Below are 16492 nucleotides of genomic sequence, written 5' to 3' on the forward strand. Positions count from 1 at the left end.
TCAATAATGTGTTTTTCTTTGTATACAGAGCTAATGAAACCTACCCTCACTTTGAGTTACTATTTAATGCATTTAGATTCTCTATCTTGGTTTTTGTTGTTGTTGTTGAAATGTAAGATACATTTTCACAAAATAGAACAAGGTTGAAGCAGAATTAGAGATTTTTGGAAATGGAAGAAGTCCTAGACTCATCTAAGCTAACCTAAGAATTCAAATGACTTGCCTAAGTTCTCATAGTTGGAGCAAAAGACCTTTGTTTGTGACTCCCCTCTACCACTATAAGCTCCTTGGTGCATCTATCCATTGTTTGCTTTATAAGGGCAAACTTGTTGTTGTTGTTGTTTAACATTTTATTTTTAACTCTCTGCCTAGCATATATAGGGACTTATAAATGTTTGTGCAATAAATTAATCTAAATGCTAACTCAGAGCTAGTGATAAAGGTTAAAAAATTATCAGTGCATGCAGTATTGCAGCACGGCTGCTGGAGGTGGGAAGATAATTATCAACAAGGGCAAGACAGCCAGTACAAGGAAAGGGGACTTCTGAGAAGAGGAAGTGGTAACCAGGCAGAGAAGTGGCTTGTGAGGATAGACTGACCATTAGAGTGTCCAGCAAAATTGTTCTGCAAGGGAAGCAGCCCTTCAAGGAGGCTAGAAAGTACAGAATAGGGGAATAATCTGTGTGGGAGTTTGGCTTATGTTCCCAGCAAACTAAGGCACAGAAAGGCTGTGACTTTCCTAAGGTGTTATGTAAATTAGTAGTAGCGCTGGAAGTAGAACCAAGTCTTCTGTGTCCTGGCCTAGTGCTCATTCCATTGAACCACTTCACCTTCTTTAGCAAATAAGAGAACAAGTTATGAAATGCTAGACTAGGACTATGTTCTAAGCAAACCCCCTCAGTCTACTGAAGCAGCAATGATTGCACTTTCTTTTCTTTCTTTCTTTTTTTTTTTTTTCAAGATGGAGTCTCGCTCTGTCACCCAGGCTGGAGTGCAATGGCACTGTCTCTGCTCACTGCAACCTCGGCCTCCCAGGCCTCCTGAATAGCTGGGATTACAGGTGCTCACCACCACACTCAGCTAATTTTTGTATTTTTAGTAGACATGGGGTTTCACCAGGTTGGCCAGGCTGGTTTCAAACTCCTGATCTCAAATGATCCACCCGCCTTGGCCTCCCAAAGTGCTGGGATTACAGGGGTGAGCCACTGTGCCTGGCCAATGATTGCATTTTCTGTCTCATCTCTGACACGGGGAAGTGTGCTGATGCTAGGAAGATGCTAGGACAGCCATCTACTGTCCCAATAAGAAGTGATATCTTCCTAAAAAAAAAAAGTAATAGCTTCCATATATACATATATGCAAATCATATATATATGCGTACCATATATGGTACGCATATATATATATGGAAACCAGCTCCTGTCGCTATTATTATTATCTGTACAACTCATTGGAAGCTATCCTTGTACCATCTTGCATCATCTCCTCTATTGTCATCTTGAACAAATATTTATTTATTTCAGTTATTTAAACATTTTATTATTTTAATTTTTCACTTAAGACATCTCAATAAGCTTTTTTTTTTTTTGAGATGGAGTCTTACTCTGTCACCCAGGCTGGAGTGCAGTGGCGCAATTTTGGCTCACTGTAACCTCCGCCTCCTGGGTTCAAGCAATTCTCCTGCCTCCGCCTCCAGAGTAGCTGGATTACAGGCATGTGCCACCACACCCGCTAATTTTTCTATTTTTAGTAGAGATGTAGTTTCACCATGTTGGCCAGGCTGGTCTGGAACTCCTGACCTCAAGTGATCCACCCTCCTCAGCTTCCCAAAGTGCTGGGACTACAGGCATGAGCCACCATGCCCGGCCTCAATAAGCTTTTTAACTTATGATGTCAAAAATTTCATTTTGCATCCCACTCCTTGAAGGGTATGCCGTAGGCATATATTGTTTGTTTACTGAATGAGTAGAGACTTTAAAAGTGAGATATATTGCAGTTTCTAAATTCCTTTTGTAGTAGTATTAGAATCAAATATCTCAAACCAAAACAGTCTCTTAAAATGAAGAGACTGTCTCAGTGAGGAGGAGCTGGGAGGTATCAAGTTATTGTTTATCTTTGTCTCCTAGATGACTGACACTTGATGTAGAATTTAGTCCATAGAATATCTAAGGTGTGCTCATGTCTTCCCTCCACTGGACATCGTGGTTGTCTTCCAAGCACTCTTTTCACCTTTACTGTGTACCAGCCAGGAGACTTGGGGAGAGGGTTAACCCCATTCTAGTAATTCCATCCACCTTGCTACCATTAAGTTCTTCAGGTAATCAAACCTAAGCCAATCAGCATTCAGGAAGGGGAATGTGGCTGATTTAGGAATCACATTAGTGATGGGAGCTTCTGTTTGAGCTTTCTCATTCTTCTGAGAGAACAATGAGAAACCAGCTGTCCCTCTCCTTCTGGATGGCACACAGTACAGATGAAAGCTTGGAACTGCTACAGTTCCATGGAGGAAGTCAGCTCCATTGTCACTGTCAAAAAGGCAGCATTAGGGTGATGCTGACATCACAGATTTCAGAGCAGAGGGATGGAAATAAAGGAAATCCTTGATGACATTGTTGAGTCCATATCAAGTGATTCCCATAAAACCAACGTTGAAACCTGACCAGGGACAGATCCAGATTTAGGTTCGGAATAGCTTGATGCTTACACAATTTTGAGAGTTCTCTTTAAGAAAAATAATATAAGATTACAAATGCAAAATTAAGTACAGAAGTGAACATTTAAACAGAACAAGAAATCATACCAAACTACAAATTTTGAAAAGGTGTCAAATATCCTAAATATCCCCAAATCTAAAACAACAATAATATTTTAAATTATCCTTTCCATTTTCTTCTTTTTCCAGAGAATAATGTTTCTTCAGTCTCTAAGGACTCAGCTCCTTACATGAGCTTTGGTGGAGGTAATGAGGCAGCACCTGCAGGTCTAAATCGAGATGGGAATGTTCAGCCTTCGTGGGCTTCACAAGATTGATTCCTGACTACCTTGCTGTGAATGGCACAACTCACACCATAATGCAGCTTCATATACAGCTTGGGAAGCACATAGGCATCAAAGATATTCTTTAGAAATGTCCCTAACAACTGCAGCCTTTGCTGTGTTTTGAATGATGAACCTAATAGCCTTATCCGTAGGCTGCACATGGCTGTGATCCTTTGTGGCAACACCATTGTTTCTTCTTTTCTTTGTCATCTTGGAAGCAAGGACCCTAAAAACAATATTTTTATTGTTTTATTATCTGCCTGACACATCTCTATGGTATTTTTTCTCCTGCTTTTTGGGATGCAGTTTCTTTGATGTCCTCTTCATGAGACAATGCTTTTGTATTAGCATTACAGAGATACCGTAATCTTATTATAGAAAGAATCCAATGTTGCAGTTGATCAAAATTTGTGGGTTTTTTTTCTTTTTCTTTTTTTGAGATGGAGTTTCGCTCTTGTTGCCCAGGCTGGAGTGCAGTGGCATGATCTTGGCTCATCGCAATCTCCACCTCCCAGGTTCAAGTGATTCTCCTGCCTCAGCCTCCTGAGTAGCTGGGATTACAGGCACCTGCCACCATGCCCAGGTAATTTTTGTATTTTTAGTAGAGATGGAGTTTCACCATGTTGACCAGGCTGGTCTCAACTCCTGACCTCAGGTGATCCTCCCACCTCGGCCTCCCAAATTGCTGGGATTACAGGCATGAGCCACCGTGCCCTGCCTCTTTTTTTTCCCTTTTTAATAGAGACAAGGTCTCACTCTGTTGCCCAGGCTGGTCTCAAGCTCCCCAGCTAAAGTGATTTTCTTGCCTCGACCTCCCAAAGTGATAGGATTATAGGGGTTAGCCACCATGCCTGGCTGTTTTGTTTCTATAGCTTAAAAAAACTTTCTTTTGGTTTTGCAGCATTTTGAACAGATTTGTCAAATTTGAGAAAACCTCTATCATGTTTCATATATGGTTTATATGATTTCAGGACATTTCAAATTTTCTTGAGCAAAAATAACCTCAAATACTCTTTGAGTTCATCGTATTTTTATAGTGGCAGACAATGAATTCTGTGATATCCTCATTGAAATCAGTGTTCGAGGAGTCTGCCTACATGTGGACCTCCTCAGTTCTGTTTATAATACTGCTATAGTTTGTGCTCCATGAGTACTGGAATTCTGAAAAACTCTATCTCAAAATATCCCCATCGAAAAAGATAAAAAGCACGGTGTATTTGTAATAATAACGGCAGTATTATCAAGTACAGTCCTGCAGTACATATGACATTTCCATCCACAATGCACCTCTAATAGGATGGCCCGCCTAGAAAACGGTAGCCCCATAAGATTATAATATTGTATTTTTATTGTACCTTCTCTATGTTTAGATATATTTAGATACAGAAATACTACTGGGTTGCAACTGCCTACAGTATTCAGTACCGTCACATACTGTAAAGGTTTGTAGCCCAGGAACAATCAGCTATACCATATAGACCAGGTGTGGAGTAGGCTATACCATCTAGGTTTGTATAAGCACACCCCGTAATGCTTGCCCAGTGATGAAATTGCCTAGTGACACATTTCCAACGTTAAGGCTATTCACAATGTTAACTGATGCATGACTCTACATACCTGATGAGAGAGATTTTTTGTTTTCATTAGGTATCTGCTTTTGCTTTTACATGTCTGATGATCTGGTCGGGTGGGTGGTTCTCCTGTTCTGAGTCAGCTCAGCTGATTTCAGTTTCCCATGTGTGGCCACCTGGAGGGGTGACTGGCCACAGGATGATCTGGGATGGCCTCACCGTCATGACTGGCGGTTGGCTGGCTTATCAGCTGAGCTGAGGTAACAGGGATGATTAGGCCACATGTCTGTCATCTTCCAGGAAGCTCGTATGGGCTTCTTCAGAGGGCAGTCATAATTCTAAAGCCTAAGACACAAGTATTTTTCAAGTCTCAGTTTGCTCCATATATGGTACCACAAGAGATTTACAAACCCCCTGTCCTGCCCCAGCCTGGAGCTGCTCTCCCTGAATCCTAACCCTGATCTGACAGGCATATCACAGTAATTAGGAGAAGGGATGCAATATTAAGGATCTCTAATGATGCAGCTGAATTTTGAAATATCAATCAGTTTTCATTATTCCTCATTTATGTTAGTAAACATAATTTGTACACATATATAGCTCTTTTTTTTTTCTTTTTTTTTTGAGATGAAGTCTCACTCTATCGCCCAGGCTGGAGTGCAGTGGTGTGGTCTCGGCTCACTGCAACCTCTGCCTCGCAGGTTCAAGCGGTTCTCCTGGCTCAGCCTCCTGAATAGCTGGGATTACAGGCGCATACTCCCATGCCCAGCCAATGTTTGTATTTTTAGTAGAGACAAGGTTTCACCATGTTGGCCAGGCTGGTCTGGAACTCCTGGCCTCAGGCAATGTCCCTGCCTCGGCCTCCCAAAGTGCTGAGATTACAGGTGTGAGCCACCACACCCAACCTATAGTTCCTTTATAGTACAAGTACTTCCTTATTAAAATAAGATAACTTTCCTCCAATAATCAATTTTTAAACCATTTCTGCATTGTCATGGTTTCACATGTCTTTAAGCTTATTTTGTATAGTTTGCAACCTAAATCTATGCAACATTTTCTAGTACTGACAAACCTACGGTATTTGAGTTATGGGCTGACATTCATGGTCTTGCAGGCAAAACTCAAGTTCCTAGGTAGGACTGAGAAGTGGTCATGGCCAGGCACAGAGGCTCATGCCTGTAATCCCAACACTTTGGGAGGCTGAGGTGGTGGATCACCTGAGGTCAGGAGTTCGAGACCAGCCTGGCCAAGATGGTGAAACCCTGTCTCTACTAAAAATACAAAAATTAGCTGGGCTTGGTGGTGAGCATCTGTAATCCCAGCTATTTGGGAGGCTGAGGCAGGAGAATCACTTTAACTGGGAGGCAGTGATTGTAGTGAGCCAAGATCATGCCACTGCACTCCAGCCTGGGCCACAGAGTGAGACTCTGTCTCAAAAAAAAAAAGAAAAAAAAAATAGTCACTATTTCTCAGGAAAATTACAGAGGAAACTAGAGACTTGCATGATGTGTTGTCATGGCAACGGCTGCCCATGTCGATTCCCAGCAACAGGATCTGTTATTGAAGCGAGCACAAATGTTAGTCTGCTGCCACCCGCCAGGGGTCAGTTTGCGAATGATGTCTCTCTTGAGGGCTAATCAATACGGCCATTAGCTTCCCAGACAGAGACCACAGCAATGGCAAGCCATGTGAAGCTGACACATTATCTTTATTTCCCATTCTAGTTGAAGCTCTGATGGCAGCACACCAGTCTTCTTTGTTCAATGACATTTTATCTGTGAGCCGTAAAGACTTTACTTCCCACAGCTGACCCAAAATGTTCGATTGGGACAAAACCCAATGGATTGCTACTTTCAAGAGAAATCAAGGTTCTAAGTTTACAGAGAACAGCCATTGTTGGTGTGGTCAGCAGCAAACAGGGTGATGGGAAAGGATAGTGAAACCAGGAGGATTAAAAGAACCAAACACATGTGATGGAGAATGACTCTCTACACAAACATGTTAGGAGAGTCTGGCCTGCTGTCAAGAAGCTCCAGAGTCCTGCTGATAATTACTGTTCCCCCATCCCCCCAAAGGCACAATCTGGACAGAATATGCTCTTACATCCCCCCAGACCCTGGGGCATAAACATCTTTAAAACCCAAACCAAATTCTACATAAAACTGGCCAAATCCCATAAAATTGACCTTGAAAACTGACCCAGGGCAGATCCAGGTTTCAGTTTGGAGTAGTCTGATGCTTGTACAGTTTTGAGCGCTCTCTTTAGAAAGAGAATGCAAGATTACAAATGTAAAATTAAGTACAAAAGTGAATATTTAAACAGAACAAGAAATCACACCAAATTATAAATTTTGAAAAGATGAGAAATGTCCCAAATATCCCCAAATATAAAACAATAATGATTTTTTAAAAGTATAATTTCCAATTTATTTTTTTCCCAGAGTATAACGTTTCTTCCATCTCTAAAGGTTCAGCTCCTTACATGGGCTTTGGTGGAGGTGAAAGGTGACCTGATAAATAAGGTTCTACTACTCCAAAAATAGAATAATGGTTTATATATCAGAATTCTTCAAAGCCTAGAGAAGGTATCCATTTAGGGAATGTCAGTTCAAGGATTAAATGCAAATCTTAGTATTCAGTTTATTTCTTTTTTTCTTTCTTTCTTTCTTTTCTGAGACGGAGTCTCACTCTGTCGTCCAGGCTGGAGTGCAGTGGAGCCATCTTGGCTCACTGCAACCTCTGTCTCCCAGGTTCAAGCTATTCTCATGCCTCAGCTTCCTGAGTAACTGGGACTACAGGAATGCGCCACGCCCGGCTAATTTTTGTATTTTTAGTAGAGACGGGGTTTCACCATATTGGCCAGGTTGGTCTCGAACTCCTGACCTCAAGTGATCCACCTGCCTCCACCTCCCAAAGTGCTGGGATTACAGGCATGAGCCACTGTGCTCAGCCTCAGTTTATTTTTTACTCATAAATAACTCAGATTTGATTTCTTCTTATGGGTTTGCTGGAAGTAAAAATCACATTCACAACCACTGAAGCCAGACATTTGATTACTCTTAACAATTAACAGTATTATTTATTAGGAAAGTAATGCTGTAAGAGTCAGCAAAATGGGGCCTGGCTTCCCGGGGCTTTGTCCTAGTCAGCAACTTGCCTTGCACTGCCCTCTTCCTGCCACCTGTGTCCAGCCTGAGCAAGAAAAGATCTGATGCTCAGGGAATCCCTCATTGGGAAAATTTAAATATGGACCGTATAGTAGATGATAATATTGAAATTAGGTTATCTTTTTATTAGATGTGATGATGGTAATGTGATAATGTAGGTGAATGTTCTTATTTTTAGGTGAGGCGTGGGGAATGTTTCCGGATGGAATATTCTATGTCTTCAACTTACTTTCAAAAAAACAATACAGCAAGTCCTCAAATAAGTCTCTTTGTTCAACGTCGTTTTGTTCAGTGTGAGAAAAATGATGAGAAAAAAAATCATTCCTGGAAATATATTCCTGGTCAGGGCCACTGTCTGTGTAGAGTTGCACGTTCTCCTCACGTCTGTGGGATTTTTCTCCAGGTGATCCAGTTTCCTCCCACGTTCCAAGGCTGTGCACATTTAGTTCACTGGCGGGTCCACGTGGTGGCACTGTGAGTGAGTGGGTGCTTGTGGGGGTGTGAGAGTGCACCCTGCCACGGGACTGCGGACTGTCCGGGGCTGGTTGTCACCTTGTGCCCTGAGCTGCCAGGATGGGCTCTGGCCACCTGTGACATTAAACTGGAGTAAGGGGGCAAATCATTATCTTACTAGTTTTTATTCATCTTTCTTTTTTTTTAAATTCATCTTTCTTAAATGTGTATATAGCTCACATTTATCTCAGTGTCTAATACTATGTGTTTTGGGCTTCAGAAGTTTGGTGATGTTTTTGTGACCAGAAATATGCTGAAGAAACTTAACTCTAGTTTATATCAATTAGCCTGTGGTAAAATTGGCTTTGTTATAAGTTGTTTCTCTGAAAGTTGAAGTTTCCAAGAACTTATTGACAACTTTAAGTGAGGACTTACTGTGTATGGAAAAAGAGATAGAGATGTGAGACAGAGAGAGAGAGGTGGGAGGAGACAGGCAATGTGGCAAAAGTTAAAATTATTTGATCTCAGTGAAGAATATATGGCTGTTAATTATATCATTCTTTCAACTTTTTTGAAGGCTTGAAGTTTTTCAAAATAAAATGTTGGGAAAAATATGTATATATATATATAAAGACTATGTATAGCCTCTGACCTCTGGTGACTCTAAAAGTTTCTTTGAGTCACTTTTTATTTTTATTTTTTTGAGACAGAGTCTCACTCTGTTGCCAGGCTAGAATGCAGTGGCGCAGTCTCGGCTCACTGCAACCTCCACCTTCCAGATTCAAGCAATTCTCCTGACCCAGCCTCCAGAGTAGCTGGGATTACAGGTGTGCACCATCAGGCCTGGCTAATTATTGTTTTTTTTAGTACAGACAGGGTTTCACCATGTTGGCCAGGCTGGTCTCAAACTCTTGACCTCAGGTGATCCACCAGACTCAGCCTCCCAAAGTGCTAGGATTATAGGTGTGAGCTAGAGGGCCCGGCACAGCCACTTTTACATTTTTTGCAGAACTGGAAGGCTAACACTCATAAAGACCTCTGCACTAGACATGTGGTGGTCAGTTATTGATTAGTTCAGGCCTTGTTCCTCTAAAACCTACACAGTGAGGGCAGGCAGGGGAGAGTGAGCTGTGGGGAGGACTTCAGATGGGAGAGGGAGAGCCAAAGGTGGCTGTTCCCTTGGCTCATGAGTCTCACAAGCGGGTGTGGGAAGTGGGTAGTTAAGCATAAAATATTCTCCAAAGAATATAAGGTATTTAGGAGATTAACATATTTCTCTTTTCTATATTTTGCTGCATCATTTATTATCATTTTGGTCTGAGAACCAGGTCTGTTTCCCTCATTTCAAAGAGCAACTTATTACATCAAGGAGCTGGAACTAGCATCCTAGGAGTTTCCAATGGGAAAGACAAATTGTGTGTGTGTGTGCACGCGCGCGCTAGTGCGTGTTTGCTAGGCATTTGAAACAAGCGCAGACTGCTACAGGTTCATAGATGAAGCCAGTGTTTCCTAAACTCTTGTTCCCATTTAAACTGAAGGATTTTTGTGGTCAAATGTTTGGAGACACTGCATATTAAATTATCTTCTTCAGATTCAAAGCACATTTGTAAATTATAATTCTGGGAAGTCCCACAAAAAGGAAACCTGGGTAAATGGTTTAGCACAGGATTTTCCAAACTTACCAGGATACTTATAAAACATTATGCCATAGGATACCCAGATCTACAGGCAACTAGTAGAGCTATTTTAAAATAATTATAGATTAACGTTTTCTACTAAATTCTGACAGTCTATGAGCAATTACTTTCTCAGAAGCAGCCTTTGCACACACTATTGTGTTTAAGGTATGGGTAAGAATAGGCCAGTTAGAGTTTAAGGAACCAATGTAACATGAATAGAAATCATCAATGAAAACAAAGCATTTGAAAATTATAATATTAATCCATGGGAAAGTTTGCATTAGGGAAACACACTTGTACACATGTCCAGACAAATATCTGTTTTAGAAATTAAAGTGTACATTTGTTATTTTTGGATGCTAAATGTTTCTAATCTTCTTGGCATTGACCTGCTAGTTTCATTCACTTTTTTTCTTTTCTTTTTTTTGAGATAGGATTTCACTTTGTCACTCAGGCTGAATTACAGTGGCGCCATCATGGCTCTCTGCAGCCTTGATCTCCCCAGGCTCAAGTGACCCTCCCTCCTTAACCTCCGCAGTAGCTAGGATTATAGACATGTGCCACCATGCCTGGCTAATTTTTTCGTATTTTTTGTAGAGATGGGGTTTCACCACATTGCCCAGACTAGTCTCAAACTTCTGGGCTCAAGCAATCTGTCTGCCTTGGCCTCCCACAGTGCTGGGATTACAGGTGTGAGCCACCTAATTTCATTCTTGAATACACCTCTTTCTGCTATTATCTCCTTCTTCATTATTGCCCCCAACTTTTCCTTAAAAGTATTGCTCAAGACATATGGATGGGTGAATAAGTGGATAAAGGGACGGACAGATGGATGGATAGGTAGCAGGACATTAAAACTGAAGTTTCAACCAAGATACTGAGAAAAAATAGATGTAAGATGCTAGAGACAGATTCCCGAACATGAAATTTACAAAGGAAATTTTTCCAAGACTCTCACACAGATTAAGGATATAAAAAGTGGCAGGGGAAGAAGAGCAGTTAGATTATGCAAAGATGGGAGAACTTTTTGGAGGAGGAGTTCTTCAGAGAAGGTTGTGCTGTGACACAGATCCTACCTCACCAAGTAAGGGGTACTTCCAGTAGATTCTTTGGACAGTTTAATACATGGCCCCTGCAGCTGGGAGTCTTTGTGGACTGGCGTCTAACTCCTCTCTGGAAAGGTGAGAAGAGGAGGGATTAGCAACTCTTCTAGTGGAGCCAAAAGCGTGTTGCTAGGTTAGAATCAGCCTGTATTCCAGAGAGTGTTAGGGCAAAGTAATGTGTTTTCCCCATTCCTCAGAAGAGGCCCAGAGAGAGAAAGCCAGCATGAGGTCATGTTGGATCATGTTCAACAGGACTACTTAGAGGAGTGGAGGGACCTCAGCTTCAAGAAGCAGGAGGCAAGCTGGATTACTGTGAAATGGGTCACAGGCCACTGTCCCTCCTGCTGCAATGAAAGGGGCCCCACAGGGAGTCTCAAAGGAGCCCGTACGTTATTCACCAGAGAGTCAACCTCAGGTGTCTGCCAGGGCCTGCGAGCACAAAGCCTCTTACTCTGCCCTCTCCATCTCCTCAGCGGGGTCAGAGACTAACTGGCAAACTGAGCCTGGGGTGGAGGTGGAGGGAGAGAAGACAACCACACCCCCTTTCTCACGGCAGGCTTCCAGTCTGCCCCAGGGCCAAGCTGCACAGGAAGAAGAATCGCCTCTAAATCAACTTCCGAATTCTGTTCAACATCTTGGACTGGATATTCTAATTATTGAATTGAGACTGTGGCTTAAAGTGACCATAGATTGGCCTATTAATTAAGATTAAGCTGAAAAGTTATGGAGTCTGCCAGAGTTTTCATTTCAGATTGGGGAAAGGTTATTCCCACTTAGTATATCAGAAAGAGTACAGTGAGGACAAGGACAAAGTTGTGTTTTGACCACACACATTCCTATCGGTCACCATAAAACATTCTATTCTATCTGTATTCTGAAGCCCTACAGCCCACAATTGCATGTTCAACAGACAGCTGAAAGACTGTTAGATAAGACTATTAGATAAGAAAGTAAGAAAGATAAGATAGTAGGAAAGATCAATAAAGTGCATTAACAGGACTTCTATGCTAATAGGTTTCAGATATTTCTTGGGAAAACTAGAGCTGCTCTCGAAATGGAGTTGAGAAAGTTTGTTCTATCATTGGATTATTAGCTCCTTACAGCAAAGGACTAGCTCTTATTTATAATTTTACTTCCCAATATTTAGCTTAATTATTAGAGTTCAGAGCTGATACACTAAGCAGTCAATGAACCTTGAATAACAAATACTAATTGAATCAATGTGTTAACTTGCTAACTAAGTATTTATTTTTAATATTAAAAATGTTGGCCAGGCTTAGTGCCTCATGCCTGTGATCCTAGCACTTTGTGAGGCCAAGACAGGAGAGGAGATTGCTTGAGGCCAGAAGTTCAGATATATATATATATATATCTCCTGGCTATTAAGTTTATTACTATTTTTCAACATACAAATTGTATTTTATGGCTGGTGCAGTGGCTCACTCTCGTAATCTCAGCACTTTGGGAGGCTGAGGCAGGAAGATTGAGGAGTTCGAGACCAGCCTGGGCAACATAGTGAGAACTTGTCTCTACAAAACAAATTAAAAAATTAGTTGGGCATGGTGGTGCATGCCTGTAGTCCCAGCTACTCAGGGGGCTGAGGTGAAAGGATCGCCTAAGCCCCAGTGGTCAAGGTTGCAGTGAGCCGTGACTGCACCACTGCACTCCAGCCTGGGCAACAGAGTGAGACGCGGTCCCAAAACCAAACAGCAATTACTTTTGCACCAACCTAATATTTCTTTAACATGTTCATCAAGTCACTTAATAATTCAGCATTTTTCCCACTGAATTAAGGACTTTTTAACTATTAAAAAGTTTGCTCAGCCGGACACGGTGGCTCATACCTGTAATCCTAGCACTTTGGGAGGCCGAGGCAGGCAGATCGCTTGAGGTCAGGAGTTCGAGGCCAGCCTGGCTAAGATGGTGAAACCTCGTCTCTACTAAAAATACCAAAATTAGCAGGGCATGGTGGCGGGCACCTGTAATCCCAGTACTCAGGAGGCTGAGTCAGGTGAATCTCTTAAACCCAGGAGATGCAGGTTACAATGAGCCAAGATCACACCACTGCACTCCAGCCTGAGCGACAGAATGATACTCCGTCTCAAAAAAAAAAAAAAGTTTGCCCATGTGTTCTTCACTGTCTAATAACTTTGATGATGAGAAAATGTTGGGAATCCTCTTCTTGGCATTCAAGCCTATCACATTCTGCTCTCACCCTGCCTTGCCCCTTTATCTCCTGCTTTTCTACTGCATGAACCTCTTTTGCCATGAAACTGGGCTACTTGGCATCCTCAAAAAAGTGTTTTCGGCCAGGTGCAGTGGCTCATGCCTGTAATCCCAGCACTTTGGGAGGCCGAGGTGGGCAGATCACGAGGTAAGGAGTTTGAGACCAGCCTGGCCAATGTTGTGAACCCCCGTTTCTACTAAAAAAATACAAAAATTAGCTGGGCGGGGTGGCGTGCGCCTGGATTCCCAGCTACTCAGGAGGCTGAGGCAGGAGAACTGCTTGAAACCGGGAGGTGGAGTTTGCAGTGAGCCAAGATTGCACCACTGCGCTCCAGTCTGGGCAACAGAGTGAGACTCCGTCTCAAAACAAAACAAAATGAAACGGTGTTTCCTCCCTTCCTGCCTTTGCCAATCCTGCCTAGAGTACTCTAGGATTCTCTTACGCCTGGACCGCTCTTCCTCTTTCTCTTTGCCTTTTGCCCTATTTTCCTTTGCAGCTTATCAAATCCCTCAACTCTGTTCCCCTCCTCTGTATCATTGTCCTGGGCCACTCCATGCACGGGACTTCTTCCTCTGACTCTTGAGATCTGTTAGGCAGCACTTGCATAGACTTGTTCCTGTTTTCCATGTATTTGGATGATTTTACCATCTACATGTTGGTGCTTTGAGGGTAGGAATTCTACACTAGACATCTTTGTTTCCATGATGTTGCCTTGGACACAATGAACGCTGACATAATTGTTGATTGATTTAAAATACATTTTTCTATTTTTAAAATAGGCAGAGAAGAAACTCTACTAATGTTTCTCAACACCTACAAGAGCCTGCCTGTAATGATTAAAAGGACAAAAGGGGTTATTTTATGTCTTAACTCAACATTTCAAAGCAGCTCAAAGGAGTATTTATCAAATGAAAAGAAGCAATCTCTGAATATTGATTTAGTACATCTAAACTATAACTAAGTTGGAGGACAGGGGAAAGCATGTGTATATTGGGGTGGGGAACACAGGAAGAAAGCTAAATCCTCATTTTCCAAAATAGTAGGAAATCAATATATACTTTCTAACATGGAAAAAAGATGAGAAAAAATGTTGCAGCATAAGCATTTTATATCCATGAAGGTAAATAACAAAAGGGCTATTTTTTTCTTTAATGGCCTCTGCAGATGCCCTTATCTCTTTTCTCTTCAAGTCCCTCTTAGAGCACATCTCACTCTCTTGATTTTATTTATTTATTTATTTATTTATTTATTTATTTATTTATTGAGACAGAGTCTCACTCTGTCACCCAGGCTGGAGTGGTGGCACGATCTCGGCTCACTGCAACCTCCATCTCCTGGGTTCAAACAATTTTTCTGCATCAGCCTCCTGAGTAGCTAGGACTACAGTTGTGTGCCACCATGCCCGGCTAATTTGTGTGTTTTTGGTAGAGATGCGGTTTTGCCATGTTGGTCGGGCTGGTCTCGAACTCCTGATGTCAAGTGATCCACCCGTCTCGGCCTCCCAAAGTGCGGGGATTACAAGCGTCAGCCACTAACCCCAGCCAACTCTCTTGATTTTAAATGTCGCTCTAGATAGAGACATTTCTAGTTCCAGGTCTCTTTGTTTCTCATTTTTATACCTCAGAGATGCTGGTGGGAGGAGTACGAGCAAGACTGGAGAAAGAAAGTGTTTGTAATAGTCCGTGTGAGAAAGGAGGGGTGCCCAGACAAGGGCAGCAACTGTGGGGAAAGAGAGTGAGGCTGATTTAAAAGCCATTTAGGAGGGAGACTTTACAGAGCTATAAGGCAGCTATAGAGGGTGAGGGAGTTGGAGGACCCAAAGATGAACCAGGTTTCCAGCAGAGGTACTGGATGGTTGAAGAAGAAAGAGCAGTTTAAGGAAGGGAAAAAAATGTCAGTTCAGTTTTGAAGATGTTGAATTTGCAGTGCTGGGGAACAATGGAATAGAGCTGTCTTATAGGCACTTTCATTTACAAGTGGGTTATGAAAGAGGGAAGAATAGGGACAGGAACCACATTTCAGCAGGAAAAATGGATCCTGATAATCAGGAGAAGTTGGGATTTCTGCTTCATGGTGGGACAGAGAAGAATATATTTGACACTCCGCTGATCCGTAGGAGCAGCTCTTCTTTCTCTCCTGCCCAGTTGTGATGGTAAGTGAACAATGTAGCCAACCTATGTTATCCTATAATCAGCCTTGGAACAGGGTTGGGTGACAAAGGGCTAAGATTTATCAGGGATGAGGAATGGAATCATCCACCAGTTAAGCCATCTAGAGCAGCATAGGTGCTAGGTGAGGGTGAGGGGAATCTAGAATTGGTAGTGGAAGAGGGAAATGGAGTGTCTCAGAAGTGGCTTTGAGAGCAGCTACAGAGGGAAAGACTGTAACTTGGCCCCCTGACATTCTAGTAAGGTTCTCCTAATGGAACCAACCAGAAATCCAGGGTAGCTAATTTCAAATGGGGTGAACTTACTATAGAAGCAGGTGGGTTCCAGTGACATAGAGGGTGTACAGTGATGCATGCCATGGTGCTCTGCTCAGATCCCCACTTTAGGACCATGATGTTCATTCTCTGGCTGCCAGAAGTACTGGCTGCTTGACAACCTACCTTGAGTTCTTTTAGAATTGTCCTCAGCCAAAGAGAGTTGGCTTTCTAAGTTTATGTGCCCCAGGCTGCATCCAACGACCCATTGATGGTGGGGTACAATCGTTCAGAGTAGACAACTCTGAAGTGAGCTCTGAGCTCCCACTGGTTGGGCTGAGGCTTCTATTGTCGACTGCACAGCAGGTAAACTCCTCCTGCAGCTCAATTCTGCTGCCTTCACTGCTCCAGAGTTGTGTGCCTCCTACATGTAAGTCTCTGCCTGAGAGTCAGTTTCCCAGGGAACCTAACCTAAGACATTAGGGCAATGCAAATGAGCTAAGTCCTCCCCCTTCACAGGAGGAAGTCAGCAGATAATATCTAAGGGTGATAAAAATCAATATGTAAAGGTGTAAGCATATTCTCTAGAGTTACACAGACAACTGCCGGAAGAACTAAAAGTAGAAATATTGAAAAGAATATTGTCTCTGCAAAATGTGACTGCAGATTGATTAGGTGGGAGATTTGCTTTTCCTTCTAAGATTTTCTCAACTACCGAAATTAATATCGTATGCAAATAGTACTTTGACTCAAATCTAATTTTAACATTAAAACAAGACTTTTGGAAACAACTAATGATAAAGAGGTAGTGAGTGAGGCAGAGAGAAGTAA

General features: G+C 42.2%; 1 protein-coding gene across 2 annotated transcripts in view, besides 3 other annotated features; it reads left to right on the forward strand.

The window, feature by feature from the left end:
- ACYP2 (acylphosphatase 2) overlaps window positions 1–16492 on the forward strand; it is a 334188-nt gene that overhangs the window by 105917 nt on the left and 211779 nt on the right. The window lies entirely within an intron of this gene.
- Window positions 4601–5040: an enhancer, noted in NCBI's record as "active region_15757". NCBI's record gives its function as "activates an Ori minimal core promoter by ATAC-STARR-seq in GM12878 lymphoblastoid cells {active_cell/tissue: GM12878}" and the evidence as "EXISTENCE:reporter gene assay evidence [ECO:0000049][PMID:35858748]".
- Window positions 4663–4957: an enhancer, noted in NCBI's record as "tiled region #4186; HepG2 Activating non-DNase unmatched - State 23:Low, and K562 Activating DNase matched - State 5:Enh". NCBI's record gives its function as "activates a minimal TATA promoter and a strong SV40 promoter by Sharpr-MPRA in HepG2 and K562 cells {active_cell/tissue: HepG2 | K562}" and the evidence as "EXISTENCE:reporter gene assay evidence [ECO:0000049][PMID:27701403]".
- Window positions 6043–6337: a silencer, noted in NCBI's record as "tiled region #9427; HepG2 Repressive non-DNase unmatched - State 23:Low". NCBI's record gives its function as "represses a minimal TATA promoter and a strong SV40 promoter by Sharpr-MPRA in HepG2 cells {active_cell/tissue: HepG2}" and the evidence as "EXISTENCE:reporter gene assay evidence [ECO:0000049][PMID:27701403]".

This window comes from Homo sapiens, chromosome 2, assembly GCF_000001405.40.
Source record: "Homo sapiens chromosome 2, GRCh38.p14 Primary Assembly".
NCBI classification, from domain to species: domain Eukaryota; kingdom Metazoa; phylum Chordata; class Mammalia; order Primates; family Hominidae; genus Homo; species Homo sapiens.